This window comes from Homo sapiens, chromosome 20 (assembly GCF_000001405.40).
Source record: "Homo sapiens chromosome 20, GRCh38.p14 Primary Assembly".
Classification (NCBI taxonomy): domain Eukaryota; kingdom Metazoa; phylum Chordata; class Mammalia; order Primates; family Hominidae; genus Homo; species Homo sapiens.
The window spans coordinates 46427584-46445769 of record NC_000020.11 but is presented as its reverse complement, the minus strand read 5'-3'; the positions used below and the strand labels follow the sequence as shown (position 1 = coordinate 46445769).

General features: G+C 42.3%; 1 long non-coding RNA gene across 1 annotated transcript in view, besides 1 other annotated feature; it reads right to left on the bottom strand.

The window, feature by feature from the left end:
* Window positions 1-798: 798 nt before the first annotated feature.
* Window positions 799-18186, bottom strand: part of LOC105372633 (uncharacterized) — a 38193-nt gene continuing 20805 nt past the window's right edge. The window contains exons 3-4 of the long non-coding RNA NR_146919.1: window positions 11886-12134; window positions 799-2087 (exon numbers count right to left, since the gene is read on the bottom strand). This is a non-coding gene — a long non-coding RNA (uncharacterized LOC105372633). The remainder of the gene's footprint in view (window positions 2088-11885; window positions 12135-18186) is intronic.
* Window positions 7462-7521: an enhancer, noted in NCBI's record as "active region_17974". NCBI's record gives its function as "activates an Ori minimal core promoter by ATAC-STARR-seq in GM12878 lymphoblastoid cells {active_cell/tissue: GM12878}" and the evidence as "EXISTENCE:reporter gene assay evidence [ECO:0000049][PMID:35858748]".

Below are 18186 nucleotides of genomic sequence, written 5' to 3'. Positions count from 1 at the left end.
GCTGCAGAGACAATGTGACCACCTGCATGCAAAGAGGAGCTTCCCACTCCAGGGCCTCCTCTTTGCTAGGAGCTGAACACTCATCAGGACACCCTGGCTGTGGAAAGGAGCTACCCACTGCGGGTTTCCTCCAAACTGTTCTGTCGCTCAGTAAAGCTCCTTTTCATCTTGCTCACCCTCCACTTGTCTGGGTACCTCATTCTTCCTGGTTATAGGACAAGAACTTGGGACCCATTGAATGGTAGGGCTAAAAGAGCTGTAACACAAACAGGGTTGAAACATGCCCCTTGCTCACTACATTGAGGGTGAAGAGAAAGAAAGAATAGCTATGGCCCTTCGGGAAGCCCAGACCTGGGAGCTCCCCAAGCCAGGGCTATGACTCTTTCTTGGGAGCCCTGTGGTTCCTGGCATCTCCAAGCCTCCAGGCACCACTTTGTTCCCCAGTACCAGCTGTGGAAGCTGCGTGCAGTGTGCCTGGCTCAGCCACAGCCTCACAGAGGACTAGTGCCTGTGCCAGCACCTGGAGCTGCCCACCCCACTGCAGCAGCTGACATGTCTGACTGCACAGTGGCCAGACCCCACGCTCACTCACACACCCCTTGCCACTCCATGCCTGACTTGCCTTTGGCAGACATGGGGTCCAGGCTGGTAGCATGAGCTGAGCACAGCCTGCCAGGCCGAGTGGGCGGAATGAGCCCAGTGAGCCCAAACAAAACTTGGGCAAAGGCACCACTGGCCACAGAGGTTTCTGGCCAGAAAAGCAACACCCCAAAGATCTTGTAACACAGCGAAGCTTACTGCAGGAATGCAGGGCAGTTTTACTATTCACAAATCAGTCAACATAATCCAACATACTAACTGGATACAAAAGAAAATTGATCTTACCAATCAATACAGAAAAAGCATTTCACAAAATACCCATTCATGGTTTTAAAAATGCTCAGAAAAAGAGAAATAGAGGGAATTTGTCCTAACTTGTTAAAGAGCATCTATAACAACTCCACAGCCAGCATCATACTTAACAGTGAAAGACTGAATGGTTGTACCCCTGAGAAGAGGAAAAGGGCAAGGATGACTGCTCTTACCATTATTGTTAAACAGTGTTAGAAGTTCTACCCAATGCAATAAGGTAAGAAAAGGAAATAAAAGGCATACAGATCAGAAAGGTAGTAATAAAACTGTCCCTATTCGTGGATAACATGCTTATCAAAGTAGGAAATCTCAAAGATCTACCAAAAATAAAACAAAAAACAGAAACTCCTAGAGCTGATAAGTGACTTCAGCTAGACTGCAGGAATATGTTGTATTTCTTTATACCAGCAAGGAACACATGGGCACTGAAACTTAAAATACAGTAGCACTTACAATTTATCAAAAACCAAAGTACTTAAATTTAAATCCAACAAAACATGTATGGGGCTTGCATGCTGAGAACTACTCAGGTTTAAATTGTAAGAGATAAAACTTTCAGAAAAAAAAAACAGAAAATATTTGGGATCTAGATAGTGAGGCAAAGAACTACAAAATGCTGATGAAAGAAATTTCAAAAATCTAAAAAAATGGATGAACATACTTATTTATGGATTAGAAGACTTAATATGGTAAAGCTGTCAATTCTTCCCAAGTTGATATAAGGATTTAATGCAATTCTTATTGTTACAGGGTAACTGAGTTCTACTGTAACACCTAATTGGGAAAAAAGGCAAGCAGGTTTTATTCCTGGCCAGGAATGGAGGAGGGAGCTCTTTCTCTAAAGACTCCTTCTCCCTGAGATATGAGAAGCTGGGGGATTTTAAGGAGTTAGATGTGGGGCAGGGAGGTACGTAAACATGTATGGGGAGGAACTCCAGATGTGCAGGTGCAGATCATGAACATGCTTCTTCATATAATGTATATTCAGAAAATGGCAGCAATTATCTTCTATGGGTGAGGTTTTAGCATTATGATGATATGTTAATGATCTAAAGGTAACACGGGGTCGCTGGTTCAGGTTTGTCCCGGTTTCACACAGGCCTTATCTTCCTCTGATAATTGGCAAAGGGTCCTGCAGCTCCCGGGCCATCTGGAGTTCTTTTAAGCAAGCTTACCTATAGATAAAGAAATAGAAAAAATTTAAGAAAAAAAATGAGTTTTTTCAGTTATCTACTGTTTAAGAAAATAATGAGCTTTTTCGGCTGTATCTCTGGGGCTGCCCTAGTAACACTATCAAAATCTCAGCAGGATTTTTTGTAGATACAGGCAACATCATCTGAAAGTTTGTATGGAAAGGCAAAGGCACTGGAATAGCTAACATAATTTTGAAAAAGAATAATAAAATGGGAGGAATCGGTTTCCAGTAATCAAGACTATGTGGTATTGGAGGATGGATAGACACATAGATCAATGGAATATAACAAAGAATCCAGAAATAGACCCACACAAATATGTCCAACTGACATTTTACAAAAGTGCAAAAGCAATTCAGTGGACAAAGGATAGTCTTTTCAACAAAAAAGGTGGTGCTGGAACAGTAAGACATCTATGAGCAAAAAAAGAAAAAAGAAGGAAGAAGAAGAAAGAAAAGAAAGAGAGAAAGAACAGAACTTCACCCTAGGTCTCACACCTTACATTAAAATTAACTTGAAATCAATCTCAGATTTAAATTATAAGAGATAAAACTTTCAAAAAAAATAAGAGAAAATATTTGGGATCTAGATAGTGAGGCAAAGAATTGACAACAAAAGCACAATCCATAAAAGGAAACATTGAACTTCATCAAATTAAAATTTTTGTGCTTCAGAAGACCTTGCTACAAGGATGAAAAGACAAGCTACACACTGGGAGAAAATATTTGCAAACCATTCATATAACAAAGAACTAGTACCTAAAATGTACCAGTACTTTGTTGTATAAATGGTTTGCAAATATTATTATATATCCTCTGATATAAGGAATTCTCAAACCTTAACAGAAAAAAAAAATCAAATTAGAAAATGGGCAAAAGACATTTTATCAAAAAAGATATATAGATAGTAAGTAAGCACATGAAAAGATGTTTAACATCCATTAGAGAAGTGCAAATTAAAAACACAATGAGCTATAACTGCATCCCCATCAGAATGACTAAAATAAAAAATAGTGACAACACCAAATGCTGGTGAGGATGTGGAGAAACGAGACCATCGTACATTGCTAATGAAAATGTAAAATGGTACCGCCACTCTGGAAAACAGTTTGACAATTTCTTTAAAAACTACGCAACTACAACCATAAGAACCAGCAATTTCAATCTTGGGCATTTATCCCAGAGAAATGAAAATTTGTGTTCACTCTAAAAAATAGACATGGATGTACCTAACAGCTTTATTTGTAATAACCCAAAACTGAAAACAATCTAGATGCCCTTCACTGGGTTAAACAAACTGTGGTGCGTGGATACCATAGAATGCCACTCAGTGATCAAAAGGAATGAGCTACTGATACATGCAACAGCCTGGATGAATCGCCAGAGAATTGTGCTGAGTCAAAAAAGTTACATACTGTATTGGTGCTCAAGGGCTCAGGAGGGTCTCCAGATGCCAGTAAGGCCCCAGCTCCAGCTGGTGTCCAGATTATTGGCACCATCACAAGAAAGAGCTCAGGGATGAGTCAGAATAAGGCCAAAGGCAAGAAGCTTTTATTGCAAATTGAAAGTACACACTTAAGAGAGAAGTGTGAGCCTGCTTGAGAGAATAAGTCACAAGTAATGGAGTTTGGGTGTCTAATTTTATGAGTGTTTCTTTAATTAAGGGGTGGAATATCCTGGAAAAGGAGGGGATTTCAGGGATACACCCCCCCACTCCAGTTATTACCCTCTTTCTGCCTTACTTGGTTTTGCCTGGAAGAGTCATGGACATTGTCACCCTGACCAGAGTTTTAGCCATTTTCTTTCCCTTATTTTGGGTTTTCTGTTATGCCATGGTTTCTTTGCCTAGTTCTTGTTTCTTTGACTGATTCCTTCCTTCCTTCCTTCTTTCCTTCCTTTCTTTCTTTCTTTCTCCCTCTCTTTCTTTCTTTCTTTCTTTCTTTCTTTCTTTCTTTCTTTCTTTCTTTCTTTCTTTCTCTCTCTCTCTTTCTTTCTTTCTTTCTTTCTTCTCTTTCCTTCCTTTTTTTTTTTTAAACAGAATCTCACTCTGTTGCCCAGGCTGGAGTGCAGTGGCATGATCTCAGCTCACTGCAACTGCCGCCTCACAGGTTCAAGCGATTCTCCTGCCTCAGCCTCCTGAGTAGCTGAGACTACAGGTACCCACCACCACGCCCGGCTAATTTTTGTATTTTTAGTAGGGGCAGGGGTTTCATCATGTTGGCCAGGCTGGTCTCGAACCCCTGACCTCAAGTGATCTGTCCGCCTCTGCCCCCAAAGTGCTGGGATTACAGGCATAAGCCACCGCACCCTGCCTTTGGCTAGTTCTTTTTTGAGTTTTTCCATCCTCCTGCGACCACCCAGTGCTGTTCCCATCTCAGTATCATTCTGTTTATATAGCATTCTTGAAATGACAAAATTTTACAAATGGAGAACAGATAAGTTGTTGCAGGAGCTAAAGAGGGGGTGTGATTGGAAGGAAGGGAGGGTGGCTACAACAGGGCACCATGAGGGATGCTGGTGCTGATTGACATGTTCTGTATCCTGACTGTATCATTGTCAATATCTTGGCTGTGATATTGTTTTGCAAGATGTTACCACTGGAGCATACTGGGTTAAGGGTACACAGGATCTCCCTGTATCATTTCATACAAATGCATGTGAATCTACAATTATCTAAAAATGAAATTTAATATATTAAAAAGGGATCTTGGCAATGATCCACGCACAATGTGGGTTAGCTGTTACTACTGGGATGGAGAAGGGAAGAGGAAAAGAAAAGAAATAAATCACCTACAGCACTGAGGCATCTACCTTATGTTTGTAGTGAATACAGATTTTCAAAATCATGGCCCCCCAAAATGACTTTCCACAACATGACTTTCCTTTTTATCACTGAGTGGTATTCCCCAGTGCGTGTGCACCACTTCGTTTAACCAACCATTTGCCCAGTGAAGGACATCTAGATTGTTTCAGTTTTGGCTGTTACAAATAAAGCTGCTATGGACACTCATGTCCATCTTTTGGAGTGAACATAAATTTTCATTTCTCTGGGATACATGTCTAGGAGTGCAATTGGTGTGGTATTTTCCATTATTCCTTTAAATCTGTACAATAGGGCTAGCCCTCGCCCTGCACCTGGATGGGACCTCAGGCAGGCAGTCCCCATAACCTCTATGATTGCTCTTAGGTAATAAACAACTAGTAGCTAGTTATGCAAGCAGCTGCATGTCTGACTCTGCATCCTCATTCTGCTTTATGAAGAAGGCCTAATCTAGTCCCATACTGATAAACTAAATCAAATTCAGAGACTTCTGAGTCTTTTCAGATGGAGAACTCAGACACAGTCAGAATTGTTTTTTCTCCTTTCACCTCCTCCTCTTTAGGATGAATGCTGAACTTGGGGGACGGAGGGGTGCACAGATGCACTGCTGAGGCAGTGGTGGGGAGAGAATGCTGTTTCTCCATCCCATCTTGGTAGAGATTGTCTCAATAATTATCTTGCCTCCTGCTCCTGGGAGAAACTGGTCCTTGGCACTGGTGTTGCATGGGGTTCCATGGATACTACTCGCGTGGACCCTAGGCACTGACTTAGTGCACCTTAGCCCACTAGGGTGCTCATCCATGGCGAGGAACCACATCACCCACTGCTTCCCAGCAAGGCTGTCCCAGCCATGTCCTGACCAAACATGACTCATGGTACTCATGGTATAAAATTATAAAGCAGCTTTATTTTTATTTTCCACTGTCCCTTTAAATCTGTTCTATAGGGCTAGTTCTTCCCTTGCCCCTGGATGAGACCTCAGGCTGTCTTCATAATGTCTCCGGTTGCTCACAGGTAATAAACAACTAGCAGCTAGTCACGCAGGCCCCTGTACACTGAGTGAGGAGACCTCCGTGTGTTTCCTGTGTCACTGCTTGCTCCCTAGGGGAGAGACTGGCTTATTTGCTGCTTGCCACAGTGTTTGCTGCTTTCTCAAAGTATGCTGAACCTTTGGCCTTGAGTTCCACAGCTTCACGGCAGCCCATGGAGTGGGTAGCATCCATCCGAGCCCATGGCGTCGCCTGTGGGACCTGAGGGCAGGGAAACCAGCGCAGCTCTGCAGATGCACATGCTGCTTGCTGCGCTTGGAGTGAGAAACTGTCTTGCTCTCATCCGTTGCCTGCCTTGGGGACCTCTAGAGCCATGGCAGGTTTACTCCTGGCCATCCTCAGTGAGCCTGGGGCTCTTTCCTAACACCCTGTCTACACTGCACCAAGAGGAAGGAGCAGCTCCCTAGGGGAACCAACCCTCCTGAGCCATGCGAGTTAGACTCACAGGACCCTGGTTCCAATTCCTCATGTGTGGTTTAGTCTTACCTGAGTATCTCTTTCTTTTATTTCCAACTTTTATTTTAAGTTCAGGGGTACAGGTGCAGGATGTGCAGGTTTGTTACATAGGTAAATATGTGCCGTGGTGGTTTGCTGCATAGAGCATCCCATCACCCAGGTATTAAGCCCATCATCCATTAGCTATTCTTCCTGATGCTCTCCTTCTTCCCACCTCTGCCCTTTGACCCCCACCCCAGTGTGTGTTTTTCCCCTCCATGCGTCCATGTGTTCTCATCACTTAGCTTCCACTTATAAGTGAGAACATGCAGTATTTGGTTTTCTGTTCCTGCGTTAGTTTGCTAAGGATAATGGCCTCCAGCTCCATCCATGTCCCTGCAAAGGACAGGATCTTGTTCCTTTTTATGGCTACATAATCCATGGTGTATATGTACCACATTTTCTTTAACCTCTACAATTGATGGGAATTTACTGGGGAAGCATCAAGATTTTCTTCTGCCACTTCTGCCTCTGTTTCTACAGAGCCTCAGTTTTTTTCTCAGTCTTTGTGGAACAGCCCTTTGCAAAAAGCCAGCACCGCAAGACTTAACCCAAGTCATTCTCACTCCTCTTCTGCTCCAACTTCTAGGAGAAAAGGGAAATCATCAGGTGATAATGCCCTAAATATCCCAAACTTCTACCCTACTCCTACCTGCCCCTCATCTTCCTTTCTGTCTCAGAGGCCAGGGAGGGGACTCCCCTCTAAAGCCAGTAAGAACCTGGCTTGGGAACTCCAGAGGAGGGGACTGTGGGCTTTGGAGTCAGAGAAAAGTGACTCTGAATGCCATTGTGACTTCTCACCACTGTGTGGTTCTGACCCAGTTATTAAACTTTGCTGGGCCACAAACCCAAGCCTAGCTCTCAGTGCACGGCCTGTGATGGATGCTGGGCAAACAGCTGCTAAATGAATGGGCTGCATTCAATTTATTGGAGGATGTTCCTGAAATGCCCAGCAGAGAGCTCTAGTTGCACAGAAAAGACTCTGCCACTTCTCTGCCTGGGTTGAAAGCTCTCTGCCTGCCAACCCCTTTGCCTCATTTCGGGCTCCCATTTTCATGAACCTACATCAATGCATAGCTCTGGCGAAACACTTTTTTGCAGTTATGTGTGTCACTACGCTTCCATCAAAGAGTCAAATCAGATAGCTTTACATTTTCATTACAATACTGCTTTTTCCCTGCCTACTTGGATTTTTTTCTGATGGGAATAAGTCATGATTTCTCAACAGGTCAAGAGAGCCCCCACAGGAATGAACATTGGTTCTTAGGATGCCCCCAACATCTTAGCTGTTACGTCTATTTGTGGCCCTCCAGGAGACCACAGTACGTAAACAGACACACAGTATATCTGCAGTATTTTATATATATATATATATTTTTTTTTTTTTTTTTTTTTTTTGAGACAGAGTCTCGCTCTGTCACCCAGGCTGGAGTGCAGCAGCGCCATCTTAGCTCACTGCAAGCTCCGCCTCCCAGGTTCATGCCATTCTCCTGCCTCAGCCTCCCAAGTAGCTGCAACTACAGGCACCCGCCACCACGCCCAGCTAATTTTTTGTATTTTTAGTAGAGACAGGGTTTCACCGTGTTAGCCAGGATGGTCTCGATCTCCTGACCTCATGATCCACCCACCTCGGCCTCCCAAAGTGCTGGGATTACAGGCGTGAGCCACCACACCTGGCCAGTATTATATTTTCATGGGGAGGTGGACAATTAAAAAAAAATGTAAAATGGTTCCTTGGAGGAGCTATAAGTTTAAAAATAAGCGTTGAGCAACACTGAAATGAGGGAAGATGAATCAAGAGAAGATACCATCATTGTCACACACTTGGAGTTAGGGACACATAAGTCTTTCCTGGAACGTGGGGTACGCATGACACTGTCCAACCTCAGCAGTTCTAACTGCAGGTCCTGTCATTGTTTAAAACATCCCACGCACCTCACCCCCACCCCAGGGAGAACTTAAGTTCCAGTGCTCTGCTCTCATCAACCCCAGAGTTTCCTCTTGCTCCTTCATACTCCCTCCCTCCCATCCCCCAATCCCCAAGGAACCACTGATCTGTTTTGTGTCACTCTAGATTAGTGAGCATTTTCTAGAGGGTGTTATATAAGTGGAATCATAGCCCAATTTATTCTTTCATTCACTTGGTGGATATTTGGGTTGTGTCCAGCTTGGGGCTGTCGTGAATAAAGCTGCTATGACTATGAATGTATAAGTTTTTGTATGGACATATGTGCTCACTTCTCTTTTTTTATTATTGGTTTTTTAGAGACAGGATCTCACTCTGTTGCCCAGGCAGGAACGCAGTGATGGGGTCACAGCTCACTGCAGCCTCAACCTCCAGGGCTCAAATGATCCTCCTACCTCAGCCTCCCAAGTAGCTGGAACTACGGGTGTAGATCACCACATCTGATTAATTTTTTAAAATTATTTCTCTTGAGTGAGTACCTAGGAGTAGAATCACTGGGTTTTATGGCAAGCGTTTGTTTGACTTTTTAACAAAGGGGCTGATTAAAGTCTCTTTCCCCAGGCAGTGGGGCCTCTCTGGGGGAGGGAGCCACTTTCTGTAATTCAAAAGGATTCTTTCCTAGGAAGACTTCTTAAGAGATGTCAAATATTCATATCCATCCTTCAGAGAGCAGGGAGTTGACAACCACATCCAGTTAGGCCAAGACAATTTTCTGGAACATCTCTCCAGAGGATGGAAAACACATATTACATATGTAATCTCTGGCATGACAGAATATATTTGCTATAATATAAAAATGTGAAAAATACATTAAAGTATTGTAGGAGAGGAAAAATTTTACCTTACCCTTTTAGAGTTCTTTTCTAACTGGGCCTGAAAATGAAATTGACATGAGACAGATCAACAGGAGAAAAGCACACACAGTTATTTAATGCAAGTTTTACCTGCACAGGAGCCTTCATAAGGAAACAAAGGCCCAAAGACGCTGTTAGAGATGAATGCTTATAAACTGAAATGGACAAAGTATCATAAGTCATGAAAGTGGGACGAGGCAAAGGTACTGGGGCTAGGGTCATTGATCAGGTGGAGAAGTGACTAGGAAGATAGGAATTAGTTGAACCGGGTCTGTGTGTAAAGGTTTCCCACGACCTCACCTTCCTGTCCTTGATAAGAATGTTACTTTCTTTCTGTTAAAGGGAGGGCATCTTTCACATGGGAATTTTATGTCCTGCTTTTAAGTAACAGAAGGAAGATCAAGGCAATCTTCTTGTACCTGCTGTTTTTCAAGTGCCTTTAACTCAAAATAGTCACTATGCCAGAGTGGCATATTTTTAACTCCTTCAGTATAAAGAATAAAGTTAGGCAGGGCGTGGTGGCTCATGTCTGTAATCCCAGCACTTTGGGAGGCCGAGGCAGGTAGATACCCTGAGGTCAGGAGTTTGAGACCAGCCTGGGCAACATGGTGAAATCCCGCCTCTACTAAAAATACAAAAATTAGCCAAGCATGGTGGTGTGCATCTGTAGTCCCAGCTACTTGGGAGGCTGAGGCAGGAGAATCACTTGAACCAAGGAGGCAGAGGTTGCAGTGAGTTGAGATCGTGCCACTGCACTCCAGCCTGGGCAACAGAGTGAAACTCTGTCTTAAAAAACAAACAAACAAAAAAGGATAAAGTTAAATGGCCCATAATATTGCCACAGAGAGGTAGGTATGGCTGACAGTCTGCTGTATGCCTAGAGAGTCTTTTTCTTGTGCATATTATACATAGAAATGTCTGACCACTAAGATACACATTTTCTACAATTTAACATTCCTGGTCAGGTAGTTGAGGGTGATCACTCCTCAAAAAAAAGTCACACTCCTTCACTTAGTTTCCAGACCAGAACCAGTTTTAGTGTTTAAAGCACATGAATTGAAGGAGAGGCTGGCTTCCTAGGAGGACCCTGTGATGCCATGACAGATGGCCACACGCTGGAGAAAGAGGAACACTCAAACATCGAGAACTATTGGCACAGGGTCCAGATTGACATTTACCCAGGAACCCAAAGCATCATCGTAGCCTCCCTATTAAATCGAGGGCATATGAAGGGCAGGAAATAAATGGGATCCTGGCCGAAGTCTGGGTTACAGCGGGTTCACTAGACCCATGGGCCAACCCCATGGCCATCTCCCCAGTCCCCAATTGGAATAGACATGTTGGCAATTGGCACAGCTCCCATGCTGGTCCCTTGGCCCATGGGGTAGGAGCTATCAGAGTAAAGAAGACCAGTGGAAGCCTCTGAAATAGCCCCCAACACCCCAACCCAACCAAATGAGTACACTTTTTAAAATGTCACATCCATCCAAAGAGGAATATTAGAGACCAGAGCCATCCTTAAAAACCTAAATGATGCTGAGGTGGCAGTCCACTCATAGCTTGTGTAATTCACCAGTCTTGCCCCTGCAAAACCCAGACATATTCTGGAGGATAACAGTGGACTACTGCAAACTCTGCCAAACAGTGGCCTCAATGCAGCTTCTGTGCCATGTGTGGTACCTCTGCTAGAGCAGATGAGCACAGCCTTGGGCACCTGGCATGCAGCCATCAATGCAGCTAATGTGTTCTTTTCCATCCCTATCAAAAAAACAGTATCAGAAGCAGTTCACATTTGGTGGAGTGGACAACAGTACACATACACAGTCTTTCCCAGGGGTTATCTCAACTGTTTGGTGCTGTCATGACATAATATGAAGAGGCCTGAACTGGCTGGACATCCACAGAATATCACACTGGTCCCCTCTATTGATGACATATGCTAATTGGACCGGGTGAAGTGGCTAGAACATGTAGGACTTGGTAAGACACAAGCACTTCAGAGGGTACAAGACTAAACTCTTCAAAAGTGCAAGGACTTCCAAATAGGTTAAAAAATTGAGTTCCATGTTCTGAAGCATGCTAGAACGTTCCCTCAAAAGTAAGGGCAAAACTTTTCTATCTTTCATCTCCCATCACCACCAAGAAGAAAGTGCCATGCCTATAGACTTCTTTGGGTTCTAGAGGCAGCACATTCCAAACATGAGAATACTGCTCTGATCCAAATATCTGGTAAAAGGAAAAGCTGCTGCCTTTGAGAGGCACCAAGAGTAGAAAAGAGCTCTGCAGCAGGTCCAGCCTGCAAAGCAGGTATCCTTGAAGCTTTGGCCACATGACCTAGCAGGCCCTATGGTATTAGAGATATTGGTGGTCAGAAAAGACATTGAATAAAGTATATGGCAAGTCTCACTGGGAAAATCACAACTCAGATCCCCAGGGTTCTGGAGCAAGTCATGTCATCTGCATCAGAGAATTACACACTCTTTGATATATAGCTCTGTATTAGAGTTATCCAGAGAGACAGAATCAATAGGATCAATCTTTCTAGATCAATAAATCAATTTAGAAAGAGATAGATGTATTAAGGGAATTGGCTCACATGCTCATGGAGGCTGAGAAGTCCCACAACAGGCCTTCTGCTGGAACTGCTGGGTTGCTAGTAGCATGGCTGCCCAAAAGCCTCAGAACCAGGAAGTTGCTGATATAATTATTAGTCTGAGGCCAAAGGCTTGAGGATCCAGGGGGCTGCTGTTGTAAGTCCAGAGACTGCTGTTAAGTCCAGAGTCTGGAAAGCCTGGAGAGCCTGGAGTTCCGATGTCCAAAGGCAGGAGAAAAAAGTGTGTTCCAGCTCCAGGAGAGAGAAGAAGAGAGGGAGGGAGAGAGAGAGAGAGAGAGAAAATTGTTTTGTTTTGTTTTGTTTCTGCCTTTTTTGTTCTATGCGGGTGCCAGCTGATTGGATGGTGCCTGCCCATAATGAGGGCAGATCTCCTCCTCTCAGTCCACAAAGTCCCAGGCCACTGTCCTCTGGAAACACCCTCACGGACACACCCAGAAGTGATGCTTTACAAGTTCTCTAGCTATTCCTTAACCCAGTCCGGTTGACACCTAAAATTAACCATCACAAGCTCCTGAGGGCTACTTGGCCCCGGAGGGAGGGAACACCCGATCACGGGAAAGCAAACGATTGTGCAGCCAAAACTATCCACAATGAGTCAGATATTTGTCAGATCAACCAAGTCATAAGATCAGGTGGGCCCAGCAGCATGCCAGAATAGAAGTGGGACATGGAGGATTGAGCAGAAGGAGGACCAGATGGCATAAGCGAGCTGCGTGAGCAGGTAACCAGACCCCCATCTCATCCACCTGTTGTCTTGCTCTCAGCTCATACTGATGGCTGCATGGGGTGGAGAGAAGGGTCCTTTATGACCAGCCAACAGAGGAGGAAGGAGCCTGAGCTTGGTATATGGATCAGGTGCCCAGTTTTGATGGTAAATGGACACGTACATCCATCATGGCCTCATACATGAGAGGCATGGTGACCAAGAAGGGCTCAGATCGCTTAGGAATGAAGGTTGGGGTCACACCATCAGGTAAGCTACCAAGCCCAGCAGAGGTGCTGAGGGTGAGGGAAGCTGGAAAAGGGTAGAGGTTTTCTGAGCAGCTGCCTATATCGGCAGCTCTCTGCTGCAAGGAAAATTAAATTTCTTACATATTTAAACCACTGTAAGTTGGGTTTCTGTTACACCAATTCTGACTGATATAGTATTTCTAACAACAGCATATGGCTGGTTTTTGTTCTTCAATCCTATTTAATGAACTTTGAGTTTTAATGGGAGAATTCGGCTCATTTGAGGTTTGTGTAAACCTGGATATAATTTATTTCATTTCTTCCATTTTAACTCAGGTTCACTATTTATTTTACTTTGTCCTTTCTCTCTTTTTCTTGTTTTTGATGGCTTGGTAACATGGCCATTTATTAGATTTTTTTTTTCTTGTAGATTTTTTTCTTTTAGATTTTCTTATAGATTCTTATAGGTTTCTTAGAGAAGCGCTATACTTTTCCATGCCATGAGTGGTTATCTGTATTTTTTTCACATTCAGAATAAAATACACAATTGCAATTATATAATCCTCCATTATGTGAGAAAAGCATCTATTTCCCCACATTAAAGAGACCTATTTGTAGTATTTTTCTATATCCTCAGCCCGCAAAGATATTGAAACACTTTTACCTTCCATCTTCTTCCACCCCTTCCCTAAATACTAGGCTGAGATCCTTCAGGACTTACAGTCTGACATTACTATTAGTCTTTCTTTTAGGATTCCTCTTCTCTCAGAAATCTGTAGATATACTTACAGCATAGTTTGCTTCCACGGATGCAGATGAGAAGTCAAATGACATCTCATTGTTTCTTTGTAAGTTACTTATTTTCCCTCTCTAGAAATGAGTAAGCTTTTATATTAACACTTGAGATTTCAGTCATTGTTTTCAGGACATGGCTAAAGATGAGTATTATTTTGTGTAAGTTCTGTTTGGAATTCAGTGGGTCCTTCAAATCTCAGATCAAGTCTTTATTGGAAAATTTTCAAGGACAATTTCCTCTATTATTTGTTTAATTATTGCCTGTCTTCCATCTGCTTTATTTTACAAATTTCTATTATCCTAATAATAATAATTCCAACATAGAATAATCCAAATATGCAAGTATTTGATTGCCTGCATCATTTCCTCAAACTGTTTATTTCACCTCATAATTTTCCTCTCTTTGCATTTTTGATTTGTGTTTTGTTTCATTACTCCATTTGGCATTCTAGGTCAGGTTTCAACAGTGACTCTGCAATCCTTTGATTCATCTCTTGAAATTTTTAGTCTGAAAATGAGATTCTTTAGATCCAGAACATGTGTGTGTGTGCATGTGTGTGTGTGTGCATGTGTGTGTGTGCATGCGTGTGTGCGTGTGCATGCATGTGTGTATGTGTGCATGCATGTGTGTGCGCGTGTGTGCATGCGTGTGTGTATGCGTGCGTTTATGCACACTGTATTTGTGGTTCCTTACGTGTTGTTGTTATCATTGTTTTTGGTTCAGGCTGTCCTCTCTCTCCCCCAGAAGGTTTGTAGCTGTTGTTCTCTGCAATATGCTGGTTCTTTCACTTTCTCACTTCTGGGTCCCCCAGGATGGGTTGGTATTTTCCTTTGCTGACCCACTGGGGCCCATGTTCAGCTGCTGGGGATCTAGAGCAAGGCCAGTCTCTCGAGTAATGGATGTTGCAACAGTCTTTGACTTGCTGGGTCCGCTGGCAAGTGGTTGGTCCCAAAAGGTCTCCCTCTGCCCGCTAGTCTCTTCAGCTGCAAAGACTGGCATTTTCCCAGTTGAGGAGAGGATTTAGCACTTTTGTTCTCCCCCACAGCTTTGTATGAGCTGGAACAATGAGACCATAGAGTGCTCACGGGGGCAGCTGCAGCCTCTCCCTTGGGAGGTCCTTGGATTTCCGTAGGTCAAGTGTTCCCGATTTCACTTTTCTTCTGACCATTACTCCTGGGCTCTGCACCTCCAGTCCCCGGGCTGTCGTGGGGCTCAGAAGCAGAAACTTGCTCTGCCAACTCCCTTCTTCTGGACCCCAGAGATGCACTAGATCTCTAAACCCCAGAAGCTGCTTGGCTCACAAAAGGTTCAGTAGCTGGTTTTAAATTGAAGGATGAAGGCAGCACAGATGTATTCAACAACCATCCCCGCAGAATTCTCAGAGGAAATTCCACTATATTCTAAATGGCAGAAATGTGTTCACAGACCACAATGCAATAAAACTAGAAATCGCCAAAGAATAGCCAAACAAACAAAAACCTCATTACCAACAAAACCCCTATAGACATGAATATTCAAAACCTACTCTTTTAACTATCTATTGGGTTCAAAAGAAAAATTAAAGTAGAAATTATAAATTATTTCTAATGAATAACAATGAGGGCACAAAAAATAAAAAATCTGTGAACTATGACCGAAGAAGCATTCAAAGGAAGATATACAGGCATATCTCAGAGATAATGCAACTTCAGTATCAGACCACTACAATAAAGCTAATATTGCAATTAAGTGAGTCATATGAATTTTTTGGTTTCCCAGTGCATATAAAAGTTATGTTTCCTCTATACTGTCATCAATTAAGTGGGCAATAGCATTATGTCTATAAATGTACATACCTTAATTTTAAAATACTTTATTGCTAAAAAATATTGATGATCATCTGAGCTTTCAGTGAGTCGTAATCTTTTTGCTGGTGGGAGGGTCTTACCTCAGTGTTGATGGCTACTGACTGATGTGAGTGGTAGTTTGCTGAAGTTCGGGGTGACTGTGGCAATTTCTTAAAATAAAACAACAATGAAGTTGGCTGCATCAATCAACTCTTCCTTTCATGAAAGCTTTCTTTGTAGCATGTGATGCTGTTTGATAGCATTTATCCCACAGTAGAACGTTCAAAATTGGAGTCAATCCTCTCAAACCCTGCAGTTGCTTTATCAACTAAATTTATGTAATATTCTAAATCCTTTGTCGTCATTTTAACGATGTTGATAGACTCTTCCCCAGAAGTAGTTGCCATCTCAATAAATTGCTCTCTTTGAGCATTCATAAAAAGTAACTCCACACTCATTAAAGTCTTCTCATGAGATTGCAGCAGTTCAGGCACACCTTCAGGCTCCACTTCTAATTCTAGTTGTCTTGCTATTTCTATCACATCTGCAGTTACTTCCTCCACCGAAGCCTTGAGTCTCTCAAAGTTATCCATAAAAGTTGGAATCAACTTCTTCTAAATTATTATTAATGTTGATATTTTGACCTCTTCTCCTGAATCACAAGCATTCTTGATGTAATCTAGAATAGTAAGTTCTTTCTAGGAGGTTTTCAATGTATTTTTCCCAGACCTATCAGAGGAATTACTATTTATGGCAGCTATAGCCTTACAAAATGTATTTCTTAAATAATAAGACTTGAAAGTCAAAGTTACTCTTTGATCCATGGGCTACAGAATGGATACTGTGTTAGCAGGGATAGGAACAACATTTGTCTCCTTGTACATCTTCATCAGAGTTTCTGAGTGACCTGGTGTTTTGTCGATGAGCAGTAATATTTTGAAAGGAATCTTTTTTATTCTGAGCACAGTTCTCAACAGTGGGCTTAAAATAATCAGTAAACCTTGCTATAAGCAGATGTGCTGTCATCCAGGCTTTGTTGTTACATTTATGGAGCACAGGCCAAAGAGATGTAACATAATTCTAAAGGGCTCTAAGACTTGAGAAATGGGAAATATGCATTGGCTTCAACTTAAAGTCACCAACTACCTTAGCTACTAACAAGAGAGTCAGCCTATCATTTGAAGCTTTGAAGCCAAGCATTGACTTCTCTCTATCTGCGAAAGTCCTTAATGGCATCATCTCCCAATAGAAGGCTGTTTTGTCTACATTGAAGATCTGTTTTTTAGTGTAGCCACCTTCATCAGTGATCTTAGCTAGATCTTCTGGAGAACTTGCTGCAGCTTCTCCATCAGCACTTGCTGCTTCACTTTGCATTTTTATGCTATAGAGATGGCTTCTTTCCTTAACCCTCATAAACCAACCTCTGATAACTTCAAACTTTTCTTCTGCAGCTTCTTCACCTCTCTGTCTTCATAGAATTGAAGAGAGTTAGGGGCTTGCTCTGGATTCGGTTTCGGTTTATGGGAATGTTGCAGCTGGTTTGATCTTCTATCCAGACCACTCAAACTTTCTCTGTATCAGCAATAAGGCTCTTTTGTTTTCTTATCATTCATGTGTTCTGAATTAGCACTTTTAATTTCCTTCAAGAAGTTTTTCTTTGCATTCACCACTTGGCTGTTTGGTGCAAGATGCCTAGCTTTTGACCTTTCTTGGCTTTCAACATGCCTCCCTCACTAAGCTTAATCATTTCTCTTTTTTTAATTTTAACTTTTAATTTTTGTGGAGACATAGTAGTTATGTATATTTATGGGCTGCATAAGATATTTTGATACTAGCATACAATGTGTAATAATCACATCAGGATAAACCAGGTATCCATCACCTCAAGCATTTTTCCTTTGTGTTACAAACAATCCAATTGTACTCTTTGTTGCTTTTAAATGTACAATTAAATTATTATTGACTGTCATCACCCTGTTATGCTGTCAAATATCAGGTGTTACTCATTCTTTCTATTTTTTTGGACCCATTAACCATCCTCACTCCCCTACCCCTCTCCCAATTACCCTTCCCAGCCTCTGGTAACCATCCTTTGACTCTCTATCTCCATGAGTTCAATTCTTTTAATTTTTAGCTCCCACAAATAAGTGAGAAGATGCCAAGTTTGTCTTTCTGTTCCTGGCCTATTTCACTTAATGCACTGACTGCCAGTTCCATCTACGTCATTGCAAATGACAGGATCTCGTTCATTCTTATGACTGAATAGTACTCCATTGTATAAATCAACCACGTTTTCTTTATCAATTCATCGTTGATGGACACTAGGTTGTTTCTAAATCTTGGCTATTGTGAATAGTGCTTCAATAAACATGGGAATGCAGATATGTCTTCAATATACTGATTTCCATTTTTTTGTGTATATACCTGGCAGTGGGATTGCTGGATCATATGGTAGCTCTATTTTTAGTTTTTTTAGGAACCTCTGAATTGTTCTAATTTACGTTCCCACCAACAGTGTATGAGGGTTCTCCTTTTTCCACATCCTCACCAGCACTTGTTATTGTCTGTCTTTTGGATAAATACCATTTTAACTGGGGTGAGATGATGCTTCATTATAGTTTTGACTTGCATTTATCTGATGATCAGTGATGTTGAGCACCTTTTCATACACCTGCTTCTCATTTGTATGTCCTCTTTTGAAAAATGTCTA